The following is a 15,035-nucleotide window of genomic DNA, read 5'->3' as shown; positions in this document are numbered from 1 at the left end:
AGTTCAACCAGCTTTTATTGAGCATCTAGTATGTGCCAAGCACTTTGTTAAGTACTTGGAATAAAAACATTAATATAACTAGGATATGAGTTCCTTGAAAGCAAAAATCTTGTTCACCAGCAGATACCTAGAGACTAGCACAGTGCTGGCACTTAGTAGATGCTCAATAAATAGGTGTTAAGAGAATGAAAGAATGGGATTCTTTGACTCCAGTGTGTATATGAAATAGAATAGCACATATGAGCTTGGTTTGCTTCACTTTCATTACTTAACAGAGGACGTTTCTGTCAAGAGTTTGTTTAGTCTCTCCAGAGGCTTTCTCTGCTTAGGCAGTGTGTCTTAAATGGAAATTCACACTTGCCTATTCTATCTCTACCATATACATTTATTTTCAGTCATGCTTGAAGTATTTAATGGTTATCAGCTCATCTGAGATGAAGACTGCAGGCCACCAATCACCTGTTAATGCTAAGCTATGTATGCATCACAGTTTATAAAGAAACTTTAGATCTGTTATTTCATGAATTTTCAGAACAGTTTTCCAAGGTATTATTCCTACTTTATGGAGGACAGGAATGTGACTTCTGCAGCTCAATAACTCTCCCAAACATTGAGTTAGTAAGTGGCAGAGCTGAGGCTCAGACCTTGGTCATTTGACTCCAAGTGCCAGATATATTCCATTCTGCCACATCTGCCTTGCCACTCTGTGCTGCATACACAACTGCAGTATCTTTCTTCTTTCTAGTAAGTGGTATATGAGTCAAACATCTCTGGAGTTTCCTCTCAACATTATCATTTATCCCAATCCTCAGTGTAGTATTTTTTCAAGAAGCTAGAGATGATTTTCTTTTTTTTTTTTTCTTTTTTTTTTTTTTTTGTGACAGACTTTCACTCTTGACGCCCAGGCTGGAGTGCAATGGCGCAATCTCAGCTCACTGCAACTTCTGCCTCCCCGGTTCAAGCGATTCTGCTTTCTCAGCCTCCCGAATAGCTGAGATTACAGGCATGTGCCACCACACCTGGGTAATTTTTATATTTTCAGTAGAAGCGGGGTTTCACCATGTTGGCCAGGTTGGTCTTGAATTCCTGACCTCAAGTGATCTGCCCGCCTCAGCCTCCCAAAGTGCTGGGATTACAGGCGTGAGCCACCATGCCCAGCCAAGATGATTTTCAAGAAGCTGATACATTAATAGGAAACTAGCAGGTGATGGTTTTATCTTCTTAGAAAACTTACTTTTAGAGAAAAAGCAAAAATAAAAGTAAAAGGTAAGCTAGAAGACTGGAGGAGCTTGGGATTTAACCACTATGTATAGATACTATTGTTGAAATATATCCTCTACCAAAATCTTTATTTGCCATCTTTTAGATGTGTTGTGCTTTCTTTGAAAGAGCCAAGTTAAGTGGGGACATTGTAGAAAGGCCTAGAGAGACCTATAATTCAGGGTGGCTCCAGGAAGCAGGCAACTTGAGATTTACGACCTTTTCAGCTGAAAAAATATAGCTCTAGCCACAAGCTCTAGTGAAGTTTTATTTGTATTTCAGCACAGTGCATTTCTATTTGTGATACTTCCCTTGGCACTTTAATTCCTTTTTCTATTCCCCAAACAACCAAAATAATAGGTGATATTTTATTTGCTAACTGTCCAACTTAAAGGAGTTAAACAGGTTAAATGAGATGGGCTAGTTAGAAAGACTTTTGAGGAAAACTAAACAATATTGCTATTTCCCTCCCATGGAGATTTGGAATGGTATTTTATATGTCCCAGATGTGGCCACATTCTGCCTAACATCTGTTAGTGCATTTTATTAAAATAATGAACTAACGTGTTTGAAAAGCCAAAAGGGTGAATTAAAGTTTTCATTCTGATGCAGCATGGATAGCTGTTTCTTTATAGTTCATAATGGAAGTGTATACTATTGTGATATCCATTTTCAAATATAAAATAAAGTATGATTTAATTACTGGCTTTCAGTAATTACTGGCTTCTAGTACGAAGAAAGTTCATTCCATTCACATAAACCTTTGCAGATTTTTTTTTCTTTCAAAATGGTTACTGTGAGAGATGAGGTTTGTGCTTTGGCATTGATCTAGGAACATCAACAATCATTCTGGAAGTTAATAAGGAATAGATGATTCAGATTGAAACTCAGCACTGAAGTGGAAATTCCTCCAGTAAAGAAGGATAGAAGATCCCAATGGGAAAGTACAGATGAAGAGTGCAAAATATTTAAATCAAGTTACGATTCGCTCAGACTGCCTTTGTGGACATCTTAGTTTTTCCCTTCTTAAGAGAAGCATAGTGCCAGAATGATTTTTTGTGAGGTGAGGGAATGGAGGGTAAAGACATCTCCTATCTAATACAGTTCGTAGAAATATTTTTTAGTAAATAATTTAAAAGAACTGCCAAATCCCACCCATATAAGATAATTTAATTTTATTTTAGACTATATCAAGATTTGGAAACTCTTGCAGTATCCATCTGCTGAGACATTAGCATTTCATAACCCACAAAAGCAAACCACTTAAATATATATTAAAAAACATGCTAAAGTAGGTTATAATCTAGGTGAATTTGAAAAACCATTGTGGTCAACCTATAATATTAAGGTTTTGTGTGCTATACTTCTAGTCTTTCCATGGAAAATTTTTGTTTTATCATTTTTTAAAAAATAAACACATTTCATAGGTCATGCTTATAAGATCAGAACTGACTGTCGTTCTGTATGTATTATGAAGACTAACACATAAGGAGTAAGATGGCGTAAAGCTAGCTGTAAATGTCTCCTCTTGTCATAGTGTCCTGTTAGGGGTATATGGGGGCCTAATGCACCACCTTGTGTCCCTCTCTAACACTTCTCCGCTGATGTAACTATAACTAATCCTTGTTCTGTAACAGTGTTATATTCAGTTAGCGGATTTCCAATTCCATAACTTCTTGGCATGTACACATCCTTAGCTATCATTCTTCGTTCTTGGACGTTATCACATTAGCTGCCCTAGTTGGACCCTTTCCTAAAATTTTAAAGACTGCTGTGGGCCTGTTCTTAGTGCAGCTGTCTCTTCTTCCACATGATCAGTTCTTAGCTAGTTGCCAACCTATTCACTTTCTGACTTGGCCCTTTAATTTGATTTGGCCATATCTTCAACCCAGCCTTTAGCTTGGGGTTTGACACATAGTATATGTAAACTGCATTACAAGCGTGTGTCACAAACATAATTCATGGTACTCCCATTCATGGCACAGAAAAAAACCCTTCTTCTCTATGCCATTCATGGCACAGAAAAAAGTACCTTCTTCTCTATCAACAAATGCAGAAAGAAGTGGGAAAAAACTGAGAAGCAATGAGGTTGACATCATTGGTATTGAATACTAGAGGAATGATTTTAGGTCAGGATTTTGGGTCACCATGTTATGTTACGTGATAATGTTGCAACTACCTAAAGGAAAATAATGCCCAACAGGAAAGTTTTTTCTTGGTGAACTATCAACATGTAGAACTGTATTTAGATGTTGATTTTAAAGAATCCTATCAAAATACACTATCATTTAAAAGTAAAAGTTTAAAATGCTATACATTAATCCTTATATTCCAATTGGAACTTGAAATTTGACTAGTTCTATACTTAGACCACATTTAGCATTTGTCTTTTTCCCCTGTTCACTCACTTGGATTAGTAGTATGCAAATACATCCCTGCCCTGCCACAAACTACTAGTCCAAGCAAACATACATTAGTAGTATATCACTAATCCTAGCATGAGGATACCATGTCGTTATTCATCTTTCAACACCGGTCATTATTCATCTTTATGTGGGTCCAAGCAGTTGACACAATGCAATATACATTTACATAATATATGTATATATGTGCCTTTCTGTGTGTGTGCATATATGTGTGTACACACACACACACACACACACACACACACAAATATCTTATCCCCAAGATACTTTTGGTATGGTTTTGAGTAATAATAATAACTCCAATTTGTAAAAAGCAGTCACTAAAAATATCTGCTTTAAACATTACAATAACATTTAGAAAATGTACATTTAAATAGGAACAATTTTCTACTTAACCTTTTTTTTTTTTTTGGGTGACTCCACTCTGTCACCCAAGCTGGAGTGCAGTGGTGCGATCTCGGCTCACTGCAACCTCTGCCTCCCGGGTTCAAGTGATTCTCCTGCCTCAGCTTCCCTAGTAGCTGGGATGACAGGCACCTGCCACCATGCCCAGCTAATTTTTGTATTTTTAGTAGAGACAAGGTTTCACCATGTTGGTCAAGCTGGTCTTGAACTCCTGACCTCAGGTGATCTGCCTGCCTCGGCCTCCCAAAGTGCTGGGATTACAGGTGTGAGCCACCATGCCCGGCCTCTACTTAACCATATTAAAGGAATCATAATACTCAATGTTTATAAACACAGATATTGCATACATTACTGATGTTCATAAAAATGATACAACCTTTTAAGAGGGCAATTTTGTGGTTATCTCTCAAAATTTTTAAAAAGTTTTAAATTCGTCTTTTAAACATATTTTTTAAAAGAAATTTTTGTAGAGACAGGGTCTCACTATGTTGTCCAGCCTGGTCTTGAAATCCTGGGCTCAAGCAATCCTCCCACTTCAGCCTCTGAAGTGCTGGGATTACAGACATAAGCCACCATGCCTGTCCTCTCAAAATTTTAAATATGTATATCTTCTAGCCTAAGAAATGTCCAATTCTAGAACTCTCTCCCACAGAAGTACCCACACAAGTGTGCAAAGAAATGTGTACATGGGTGTTAATTTTTGTGTTACTTGTATTTGTAAAATATTGAAAATAACCCACTTTTTTGGCTAAGTAAATTTTGGTTCCATAAAGAATACATCATATAGCTGTCAAAAAGAACAAGATAGAGCCACAAGCACTAACATAGAAAAATATTAAAGATATATTAATAAGTAAAAAATCAAGTTAGCAGTATGTTCCATATAATCTTATTTTTATAGTACAAAAAAACTCAAAAGAATGTGCATGAAACTATTAAAAGGGATTGCATTTGAGGAGAATTTCTGAACACTTTCAATTTCTAAAGTATTTCTTCATTTCTGTACTGATTTGAATGCTTCCCAATGAAATAAAAAATTGTGTTTTATTACAAAATTGGTAAAGACACAATTACATATAAAAAGCAAACTGATCTAATAAAAATGAGTGAAAATTTTAACATATATCTACCTATTATTAACTGCGAGACGGTGGTAAAGAAAACAGCTGTTCTAGATCAGGCATCATCAGCCAAAACAAACAGAAAAGCTATAACTTCAAAATTCCTTGTTTCTGCAGGTCTAGTTGTGTAGCGTCCCTGAAAATCAGGCATTCAAATGGCTTATTATTAGACCTTAATCTCTACTCCCTTAAACATTCCTTACCCTATTTAGTAAGAATTTAGGCTAAACAGAGACCAACCAATGACTATAGATCCCTCAAATAGCAGCAAAGAGTTCTAGGACCTATATAATTATCTTGGGACTCAATTCTCCTCCTACTAATTTATATCCCACAATCTCTAGGGAAAATATCAGGTGTTTTTTGCTAATTAGTCTCCTTAGCACTCGCTCAAGAAATTCCTACTGATTTAACACGTGATTGCTGGAAGCAACTACACATGGTAGGTTGAGAATTTACTATTTGAATTTCCCATCTTATACACCTCTATTCAAGGGGGTTTTAATTTTTCAGATGTTTTGATATCACCATATGGTGAAAAGTTTCAACGATGCATTAGGCTTGTTTCAGAAGACTTGACCTCCCTCCAAATCTGGTGCAAATGGCTCGAGAGGTCACAGCAAGAACACTGGCCATTGCAGTTAGGGTAGAGTGGGGTGAGGGTCATGCAGACATAGAGGGACCCCAGGACTGGCTGAAAAGGGCAGGAGATTTGTCCAAAGTGGCCAAATGCCCAGAGCTGGAGCAAGAACCGAATACACAGGCAAGCAGGAAGTTGGGAAAGTAGGGCTCAGTATAAGTTTAATGGGGTACAAGAGACTCACTTGAAAATTGAATTGGGGGTCTGAAGCCAAGAACATAAAGAACAGCTATACCTCCTCCTCCAGTGGAGAGGATGGCAAGTGTAGTGGGGAATAAGGGATAGGTGCAGTATGGGTGATGTGAGCTGAGGCTGGCAAAGGGATACCCCTGACCTAGACTCTAGGTTCTAAAGTTATAAGTGGGCCAATTCTAAAGACACATGCAAAACCCAAAGTTATTGGTGAGGGTCATGAAAAACAGAGGGTCAGTTAAGAGATGCAGATGCAAACAGCTCATGAAAATTGGAAACAAAAGCTTTGAGATAGATGTGAGGAATCAATGAGTGAGATGAAAAGAGCCAGGGACAGTGAGATCTGGACATATAATGACTGGACTTTATCTGGGTTCTCCTAATTTCTCTGACCCACTCCAGCTCAGTCTCTTTTCTGGCTTCTCATCATTCACCCCAAACCCTAAAGTTTTGGAATGTCCCAGGATTTAGTCTTAGGACCTTTTTCCCCTCTTACTTTATATTCTCTTTCTGGGTAATCCTATTCAGTCACATGGCTCTAAGTACCATCCATGTGTTGACAACTTTCAATTTTCTCCAAACTTAAAGACCCCAGAAGTTTCTCCAGACTTACAGTCCTCTCCTCTACTTATTCACCCCTCCTTTAGATGTCTGATAGGTATCTCAAATATCAAATGCCCAAACCAGACTTCCTTTTCGAAATGTAAACAAAGAGTAATATATGATGTTAACTGTCTTTTTATTTGTAGCTGTAATATCAATGTTGCTTTACTAGTCCCAGGGGAATTAAAGGAACATATTCTTTATAATTACTTAAAACCACAAAATAATTCAAATGTAAAATTAATGTTTTAAGTGTATTTGCATACATTTCATTTATACATTATTCCCTTATTAAGAGTCAACAAATCACCAGACTAATTTAGAGAGATGTAAGATATAAACCTTATCCTTGAAGAACCCAGCATCTAATGGGGGGAAGAGGCACATAACAAATGTTATGAGGCCAATACGAGTAAAGGCAATAGGAATAACTGCCCCTTACAGCTCATTATTAATTACACACTATGGAATAGCATCTCTCATAGGGCTCTAGTCACAGCAACATTAGTTTTAATCCTGGAAATTAGAAGAGTTATAGGCAAATTCACAACTGTGCTAATAGCAAACAACCTCATAAACTCTGTGTCAGGTACAGTGCTAAGTATTTTGTAAGTGTCATTTCCCTGAATCTTCACAATCCTATGAGGAAATTACCTTCAGTATTACCACTTTATGCATTAGAAAATAAAGGTTTAAAGCATCTTAATACTTAACCTGAGTCACCTCAAAATAACAGTGTGGGCAAATCCATTCTCTTAAGCACTATTCTTTTTTTTTTTTTTTTTTTGAGACGGAGTCTCGCTGTATCCCCCAAGCCAAAGTGCAATGGTGTGATCTTGGCTCACTGCAACCTCTGCTTCCTGGGTTCAAGCGATTCTCCTGCCTCAGTTTCCCAAGTAGCTAGGACTACAGGCACCTGCCACCACACCTGGCTAATTTTTGTAGTTTCAGTAGAGACAGGGTTTCACCATGTTGGCCAGGCTGGTCTCGAATGTCTGGCCTCAGGTGATCCACCAGCTTCAGCCTCCCAAAGTGCTGGGATTACAGGTGTGAGCCACCACGCCTGACCCCACCCTTAACCACTATTCTAAACTGCCTTTTCGTAACTGATGGCTCTGCTTTAACTAATAAAATACTGCTCAGGTTTTTTGGGGTTTTTTTTTGGAATATTTGTACTAAAATAAAAGAATAAATTTCTGAATAAACCACATAGTGAATATTCCTATTATACTCCAATAAAAAACCTCTATTACTAAACATATTTGGGTAAAAAGGACTATAGGGCAAGGAGCCTAGCTCCATGAAATGGTGGGGTCAGTTTCCCAGAGCTCATAAAGACACGGTAGCAGAGATTGGTCTTTTCAAGTTTCCTGCTGATTGATTGCCTTTGGAGATAAGCTCTTCATTCCAAAGGACAATCTGTGTTTGGGGCCCTCTCTTGGTAGTTATCCACAGATAAACTAAGATGGAGAAATCATCAAATTTGCAGAGGCTAAGTGAATAGAAGCCAAAGCCTATAGGAATACAACCTTCCAAATTTATTATCTGTTATGCATTGATTTATCGCATATGGCAAGAACTTAAACCAGATGTTTAAGACGAGAGCACAGGAATGTGGCCTCAACTTGAAAGTAGAGAATCAAGACTTCTAGGTAGTTCAGAAGTTTCCTTTTATGCTAGTTGTACACTAGAATAAAACTTTTCCAATCATCTTTTCAAATTAAGTGGGATTCCACTTCTTAATCTGGAAGTTGTTGAAACTTCTGGCTTTTGAAACTCAATTATTTTCATTTTCCAAAAGATCCATGATTTTCTGGTAGTTTTTACTTAATCTAAAGCAAAACATTCTTGGAAAATATAGCTTCAACATGTAAATATTCACATCTACACATCCCCTTTTGCTCCATTCTCGTCTGGAGTTTAGACATCACATTTTCATAGCTAGAATTCAATAACACATCTTTGTCTGTCATCTGCTTTATTTTAATTAAACCAGTGTCTTAAAAACTCTATTATTTGAAGTCACATTTAAGTATTGAAAAAAATTTCATTTTAATGATGTATGTATGCTTAAGGAAAAAAAATTTTCCACATTAGCCCAAAATGAATTTTGGATGCACAGTTATAAAACCTTTTTATTTTTCAAAAATTTTAAAAGCATTAGTGGAGAAAAAAATATTATAAATGCTTTAGTTTAGGAATAATCTTGGAAATTAAAAGTATACAATATGGGCCAGGCCAGTGGCCTCTAATCCTAGAACTTTGGTAGGCTAAGGCAGGAGGACTGCTTGAACCCAGGAGTTAGAGTTAGCAAGACATCGTCACTACAATAATAATATGCAACAGAGAATAAATATGCAGTCCTTTCTCTCTGAGAGAAAATGATATTGAAAATCATCAACTGAGCAATGATACTACAAGTACTTGTGATTTAGTTTTCAGTATGGTTTCACAATACATTTACGTGGTAAGATACATTTTTAAAAATTATTAGGCAGAGCACAGGTGGCTCACGCCTTTAGTCCTTGTGCTTTGGGAGGCCGACGCTGGCAGATCCCTTGAGTCCAGGAGTTCGAGACCAGCCTAGGCAAGATGGCGAAACCCTGTCTTTACAAAAATTGCAAAATAGCCAGATGTGGTTGCATGTGCCTGGAGTCCCAGCTACTCAGGAGGCTGAGGCGGAAGGATGGCTTAAGCACAGTATGCAGAGGTCGCAGTGAGCTGAGATCATGCCACTGCACTCCAGCCTGGGTTAGGGAGGCCAGACCCTGTCTAGAAAAAAAAAAAAGAGAGAGAAGAAGTCAATTTAGACAGTTTCTGCTGCAGGTGAACAATCAAAGACCTTCAGTCGTACTGCAGATATGTACACATGTCCACACATACATGTGATTGAGTGCCAAAGAAAGTTACTTTACTCAAAACCAGAAGAAAAATCCCTCACTCTATAAGGAGTTATCTGTAGGAAACTAAACACACACCTAATAGAAGCTATCTGAATACCTCATTGCATTGTCTATAAACAGCCAAAGCAATTGGTTCCTTTTTTAGAACTTTCCTTGATTGTGTGTTGAGCATTCGTTTTATCCTGAACTCCCTTCTAGGCATGGGGGTGGGGGTGGGGGGTAGGGGCACCAAAAAAGATGCATAAGTGATATATCTTGTTTGGCCAGTTTAGAGTAACCATAAGGTCATATTTCTTTCTTATGAAGGTAATATTTACATATAGTAAAATGTACATCTATTAAGTATACAAATGAATGAATTTTAACAAATACATGTATCCATGTAATCAATACCCCAACCAAGACATAGCACATTTCCGTCACCCCTAGAAAGTTCTTTCATGCCCTCCTTCAATCAGTCTCCCTTTCCCCATATACAGTCTTGTTCTGAATTCTTTTTTGTCACCATGGGTTAGTTTATCTGCTCTTGAAAGTCACATAAACGGAATTATACAATATGTATTGTTTTTAATCTGTTTTTAACTCCATTTAATGTTTTAGGGATTCATGGTGTTGTATTCGTAATTCATTCCATTTTATCACTGTATAATATTCCATTGTACAAGTGTACCACAATTATTTTTCATTCATAATCCTTTTGAGAGATATTTGAGTTTGTTTCCAGTTTTTGACTATTAGGAATAAAGCTGCTATTAACACCATTGGTCAAGTCTTTTTGTGTGTGTGTGTCAGGGTCTTGTTCTGCTGCCCAGGCTGAAGTGGTGCAGTGGTGTGATCACCACTCAACACAGCTTCAACCTCCTGGGCTCGATCCACCCCTCAATCCTCCCACCTTATCCTCCTGGGTAGCTGGGACTACAGGCATACATCATCATGCCCAGCTAATTTTTTTTTTCTTTTTTTTTAGAGATGAGTGGTCTCACCATGTTGCTCGGGCTGGTCTCAAACTCCTGGACTCAAGCAATCCTCCTGTCTCAGCCTTCCAGAGCGCTGGGATTACAAAAATGAGCCACTGTGCCTGGCAAGTCTATTTGTGAACACGTATTTTCACTATTTGGGTAAATACCTAGGAGTTGAACTGCTGGGTCATTAGGTAGGTGTACAATTTTATAAGAAGCTCTCAGTTTTCCAAAGTGGCTGTATTATGTCATACTCTCACCAGCAGTGTATGAGAGTTTCATTTGTATCACACCCTTGTCAACATTTGATAATTGTCAATTTGTTTAGTTTTCACCATTTCTGTAGGTGTAAGGTGGAAGTTTAGTGGGGTTTTAATTAACATTTCCTTGATGACTCATGATATTGAACACCTTTTCATGTGTGTATTGACCATTTTTATGTCTTCTTTTGTGAAATGTCTTTTTGTCTTTTGACTATTTTTTAATTGGATTGTCTATTTTTGATTTGTAGAAGTCTTTTATATGATACAAGTTCCTTATCAGATACATGTATTAAGAATATTTTCTCACAGTTTCTGGCTTGTGTTTTTTAAGACTTTATTTTTTAGAGCAGTTTTAGGTTCGCAGTAAAAAATACAAAGATTTTCCATATACTCTCTGCCTCACAAATGCACATCTCCCACTTTCAACATCCTGCATGAGAGTTTTACATTTGTCCAACTGAATGCTTCTGCATTGACACATTACCAAAGCCCATACTTCACATTAGGCTTCACTCTTGGTGTTGTACCTTCTATGGGTTTTGACAAATATATAATGGCTTATAAATATACCACTATAGTATCATACAAAATAGTTTCCCTGCCCTAAAAATCCTCAGTGCTCTGACTATTCATCCCTCCCACTCCATAAACCCTATAAACCACTGATCCTTTTCCTGTCTCCATAGTTTTACCCTTTCCAGAATGCCATATAGTTGTCATCATACAATATGTGGCCATTTCAGATAATTTTTTTCTGACTATGTACCACCCATTTAAGGTTCATCCATACCATGTCTTTTCATAGCTTGATAGCTCACTTCTTTTTAGTGCTGAATAATATTTCATTGTCTGGGTGTACCACAGTTTATTTATACATTTACCTACTGAAGGACATCTTGGTTGCTTCCAAGTTTTGGTTATTTTTAATAACTCTGCCATAAACATTTGTGTGCAGGTGTTTGTGTGGACGTCAATTTTTAACTCATTTGTGTAAATACCCAAGGAGAGCAATTGCTGGATCATATGGTAAGAATATGTTTAGTTTTGTAAGAAATTGCCAAACTGTCTTCCAAAGTAGCTACACCATTTTACATGAATGAGAGTTTCTTTTGCTCCATATGCTCACCACAGCATTTTATGGTGTTAGTGTTTGGATTTTGGCTATTCTTTTTCTTTTTATTTTTTGAGATGGAGTCTCGCCCTGTCGCCTAGGCTGGAGTGCAGTGGTGTGAACTCGGCTCACTGCAACCTCCACCTCCCAGGTTCAAGCAATTCTCCTGGCTGAGCCTCCTGATTAGCTAAAATTACAGGCTCACGCCACCATGTCCAGCTAATTTTTGTATTTTTAATAGAGATGGGGTTTCACCACGTTGGCCAGACTGGTTTCCAACTCCTGACCTCAAGTGATGTGCCCACCTAAGCCTCCCAAAGTGTTGGGATTACAGGCATGAGCCACCCAGCCTGGCCCGAATTTTAGCTACTCTAATGGGTGTGCAAAGGTATTTCATTGTTGTTTTAATTTGCAATGCCCTAATGACATACAATATTAAGCATCTTTTCATATGCTTATTTGCCATCTACATATCTTCTTTTGTGAGGTTTCTGTTCAGGTCATTTGCCTATTTTTAATTGGGTTGTTTATTTTCTTATTATTGAGTTTCAATAGTTCTTTATATATTTTAGATAATAGTCCTTTATCAGATATGTCTTTTGCAAAGATAACTCAGTCTCTGGCTTATCTTCTCATTCTCCTGATAATGTCTTTCACAGAACATGAGTTTTTAATTTTAATAAAGTTTAGCTTATCAATTCATGGATCATGCCCTTGGTGTTGTATCATCACCATACCAAGGTCATTTAGGATTTCTCTTGTTATCTTCTAAGAGTTCTATAGTTTTGTGTTTTAAAAGTAGGTTTGTGATCCATTTGGAGTTATTTGTTGTGAAGGGTGTAAGATCTGTGTTTAGATTTCTTTTCTTTACGTGGATGTCCAGTGTTCCAGCACCATTTGTTAAAAAGATTGTCTTTGCTCTGTTGTATTGCCTTTGCTCCTTTCTCAAAGATCAGTTGAATCTGCTTATGTGGGTGAATTTCTGGGATCTCTATTCTGTTCCATTGATTGTCCATGAGATCTGTAGTGATGTCCTCTCTTTCATTTCTGATATTATTAATTTGTGTCCTCTCTTTTTTTTCTTAGTTACCCCAGCTAGAGGATTATTAATTTTATTGATATTTTCAAAGAACCAGCTTTTAGTTTTGTTAATTTTCTGTATTGATTTCCTGTTTACAAGTTTATTGATTTCTGTTTTAATTTTTATGATTTCTTTTCTTCTTCTTACTTTAGATTTAATTTGCTCTTCTTTCTCTAGTTTCCTAAGGTGAAAGCTTAGATTATTGACTTTGGATCTTTCTTCTTTTCTCTTTCTTTTTTAAAACATATTTTCTTTTTTTATTTTTATTTTTAGTAGAGATTGAATTTCATTAATAATATGGTTTGGCTCTGTGTATCCACCCAAATCTCATGTTGAATTGTAATCCCCAGTGTTGGAGGTGGGATCTAGTGAGAGGTGATTGGATCATGGGGGCAGATTTCCCCCTTGCCGTTCTCATGATAATGAGTAGTTCTCATGAGATCTGGTTGTTTAAAAGTGCCTAGCACCCTCCCCCCTGCTCTCTCTTCCTCCTGTTCTAGACATGTAGGACATGCCTGCTTCCTCTTCACCTTCTGCCATGATTGTAAGTTTCCAAGGCCTCCCCAGCCATGCTTCCTGTGTAGCCTGTGGAATTGTGAGCCAATTAAACCTCTTTTCTTTATAAATTACCCAGTCTCATGTAGTTCTTTATAGCAGTGTGAGAACAGACTAATACAGAAAATTGGTACCAGGAGTGGAGCATTGCATGAAAATGAAGAAGTAGCTTTGAAACTGGGTAACAGGCGCAGGCTGGAACAGTTGGGAGGGATCAAAATAAGCCAAGAAGATGCAGGAAAATTTGGAGCTTCCTGGAGACTTGTTAAATTGTTGTGACCAAAATGCTGATAGTGATATGGACAATGAAATCCAGGCTGAGGTGGTCTCAGATGGAGATAAGGAGCTTGTTAAAAACTGGAGTAAAAGTCATTCTTGCTATGCTTGAGAAAAGAGACTGGCAGCATTGTGCCCCTGCCCTAGAGATCTGTGGAACTTTGAACTTGAGAGAGATGATTTGGGGTATCTGGCAGAAGAAATTTCTAAGAAGCAAAGCATTCAAGATGTGGCCTGGCTGCTTCTAACAGCATATGCTTATATTCATGGGCAAAGAGATGATCTGAAACTGGAACTTATGTTTAAAAGAGAAGCAGAGCATAAAAGTTTGGAAAATTTGTCCTGGCCATGTGGTAGGAAGGAAAAAACAATTTTTAGGGGAGGAATTCCAGCTGCCTGCAGACATTTACAAGAGTAAAGAGGAGCCAAATGTTAATAGTCAAGACAATGGGGAAAAGTGCCTGGAAGGCATTTCAGAGATCTTCACGGCGGACCCTCCCATCACAGGCCCAGTGGCCTAGGAGGGAAGAATGGTTTTGTGAGCTTGGCCCAAGGTCCCACTACCCTGCACAACCTTGGAACACTGCTCCCTTTATCCCAGCCACTCCAGCTCCAGCTGTGGCTAAAAGAGCCCCAGATACATCTCAGGCCACTGCTCCAGAGGGTGTAAGCCCCAAGCCTTGGTGGCTTCCATGTGGCATTTGGTCTGCAGGTGGGCAGAAGGCAAGAGTTGAGGTTTGGGAGCCTCCACTTAGATTTCAGAGGATGTATGAAAATGCCTGAATGTCCAGGCATAAGTCTACTGCAGGGGTGGAGCCCTCATGGAGAACTTCTACTAGGGAAGTGCAAAGGGGTAATGTGGAGTTGGAGCTTCCACACAGAGTCCCCACTGGGGCACTGCCTATTGAAGCTGTGAGAGGAAGGCCACTGTCCTACAGCACCCAGAATGGTAGATCCACTGACAGCTTGCACCGTGCACCTCGAAAAGCCACAGGCACTCAATGTCAGCCCATAAAAGCAGTCAAGGGGGTTGTACCCTGTAAAGCCACAGTGGCAGAGATGTCCAAGGCCTTGGGAGCCCATTCCTTGCATCAGTGTAGTCTGAATGTGAGACATGGAGTCAAAGGAGATTATTTTAGAACTTCAAAATTTGGTTGGGCGTGGTGGTTCATGCCTGTAATCTTGGCATTTTGGGAGGCTGAGGTGGGGGGATCACCTGAGGTCAGGAGTTTGAGACCTG

Source organism: Homo sapiens, chromosome 1, assembly GCF_000001405.40.
Source record: "Homo sapiens chromosome 1, GRCh38.p14 Primary Assembly".
NCBI lineage: Eukaryota > Metazoa > Chordata > Mammalia > Primates > Hominidae > Homo > Homo sapiens.
This window is presented reverse-complemented; position numbering follows the sequence as displayed.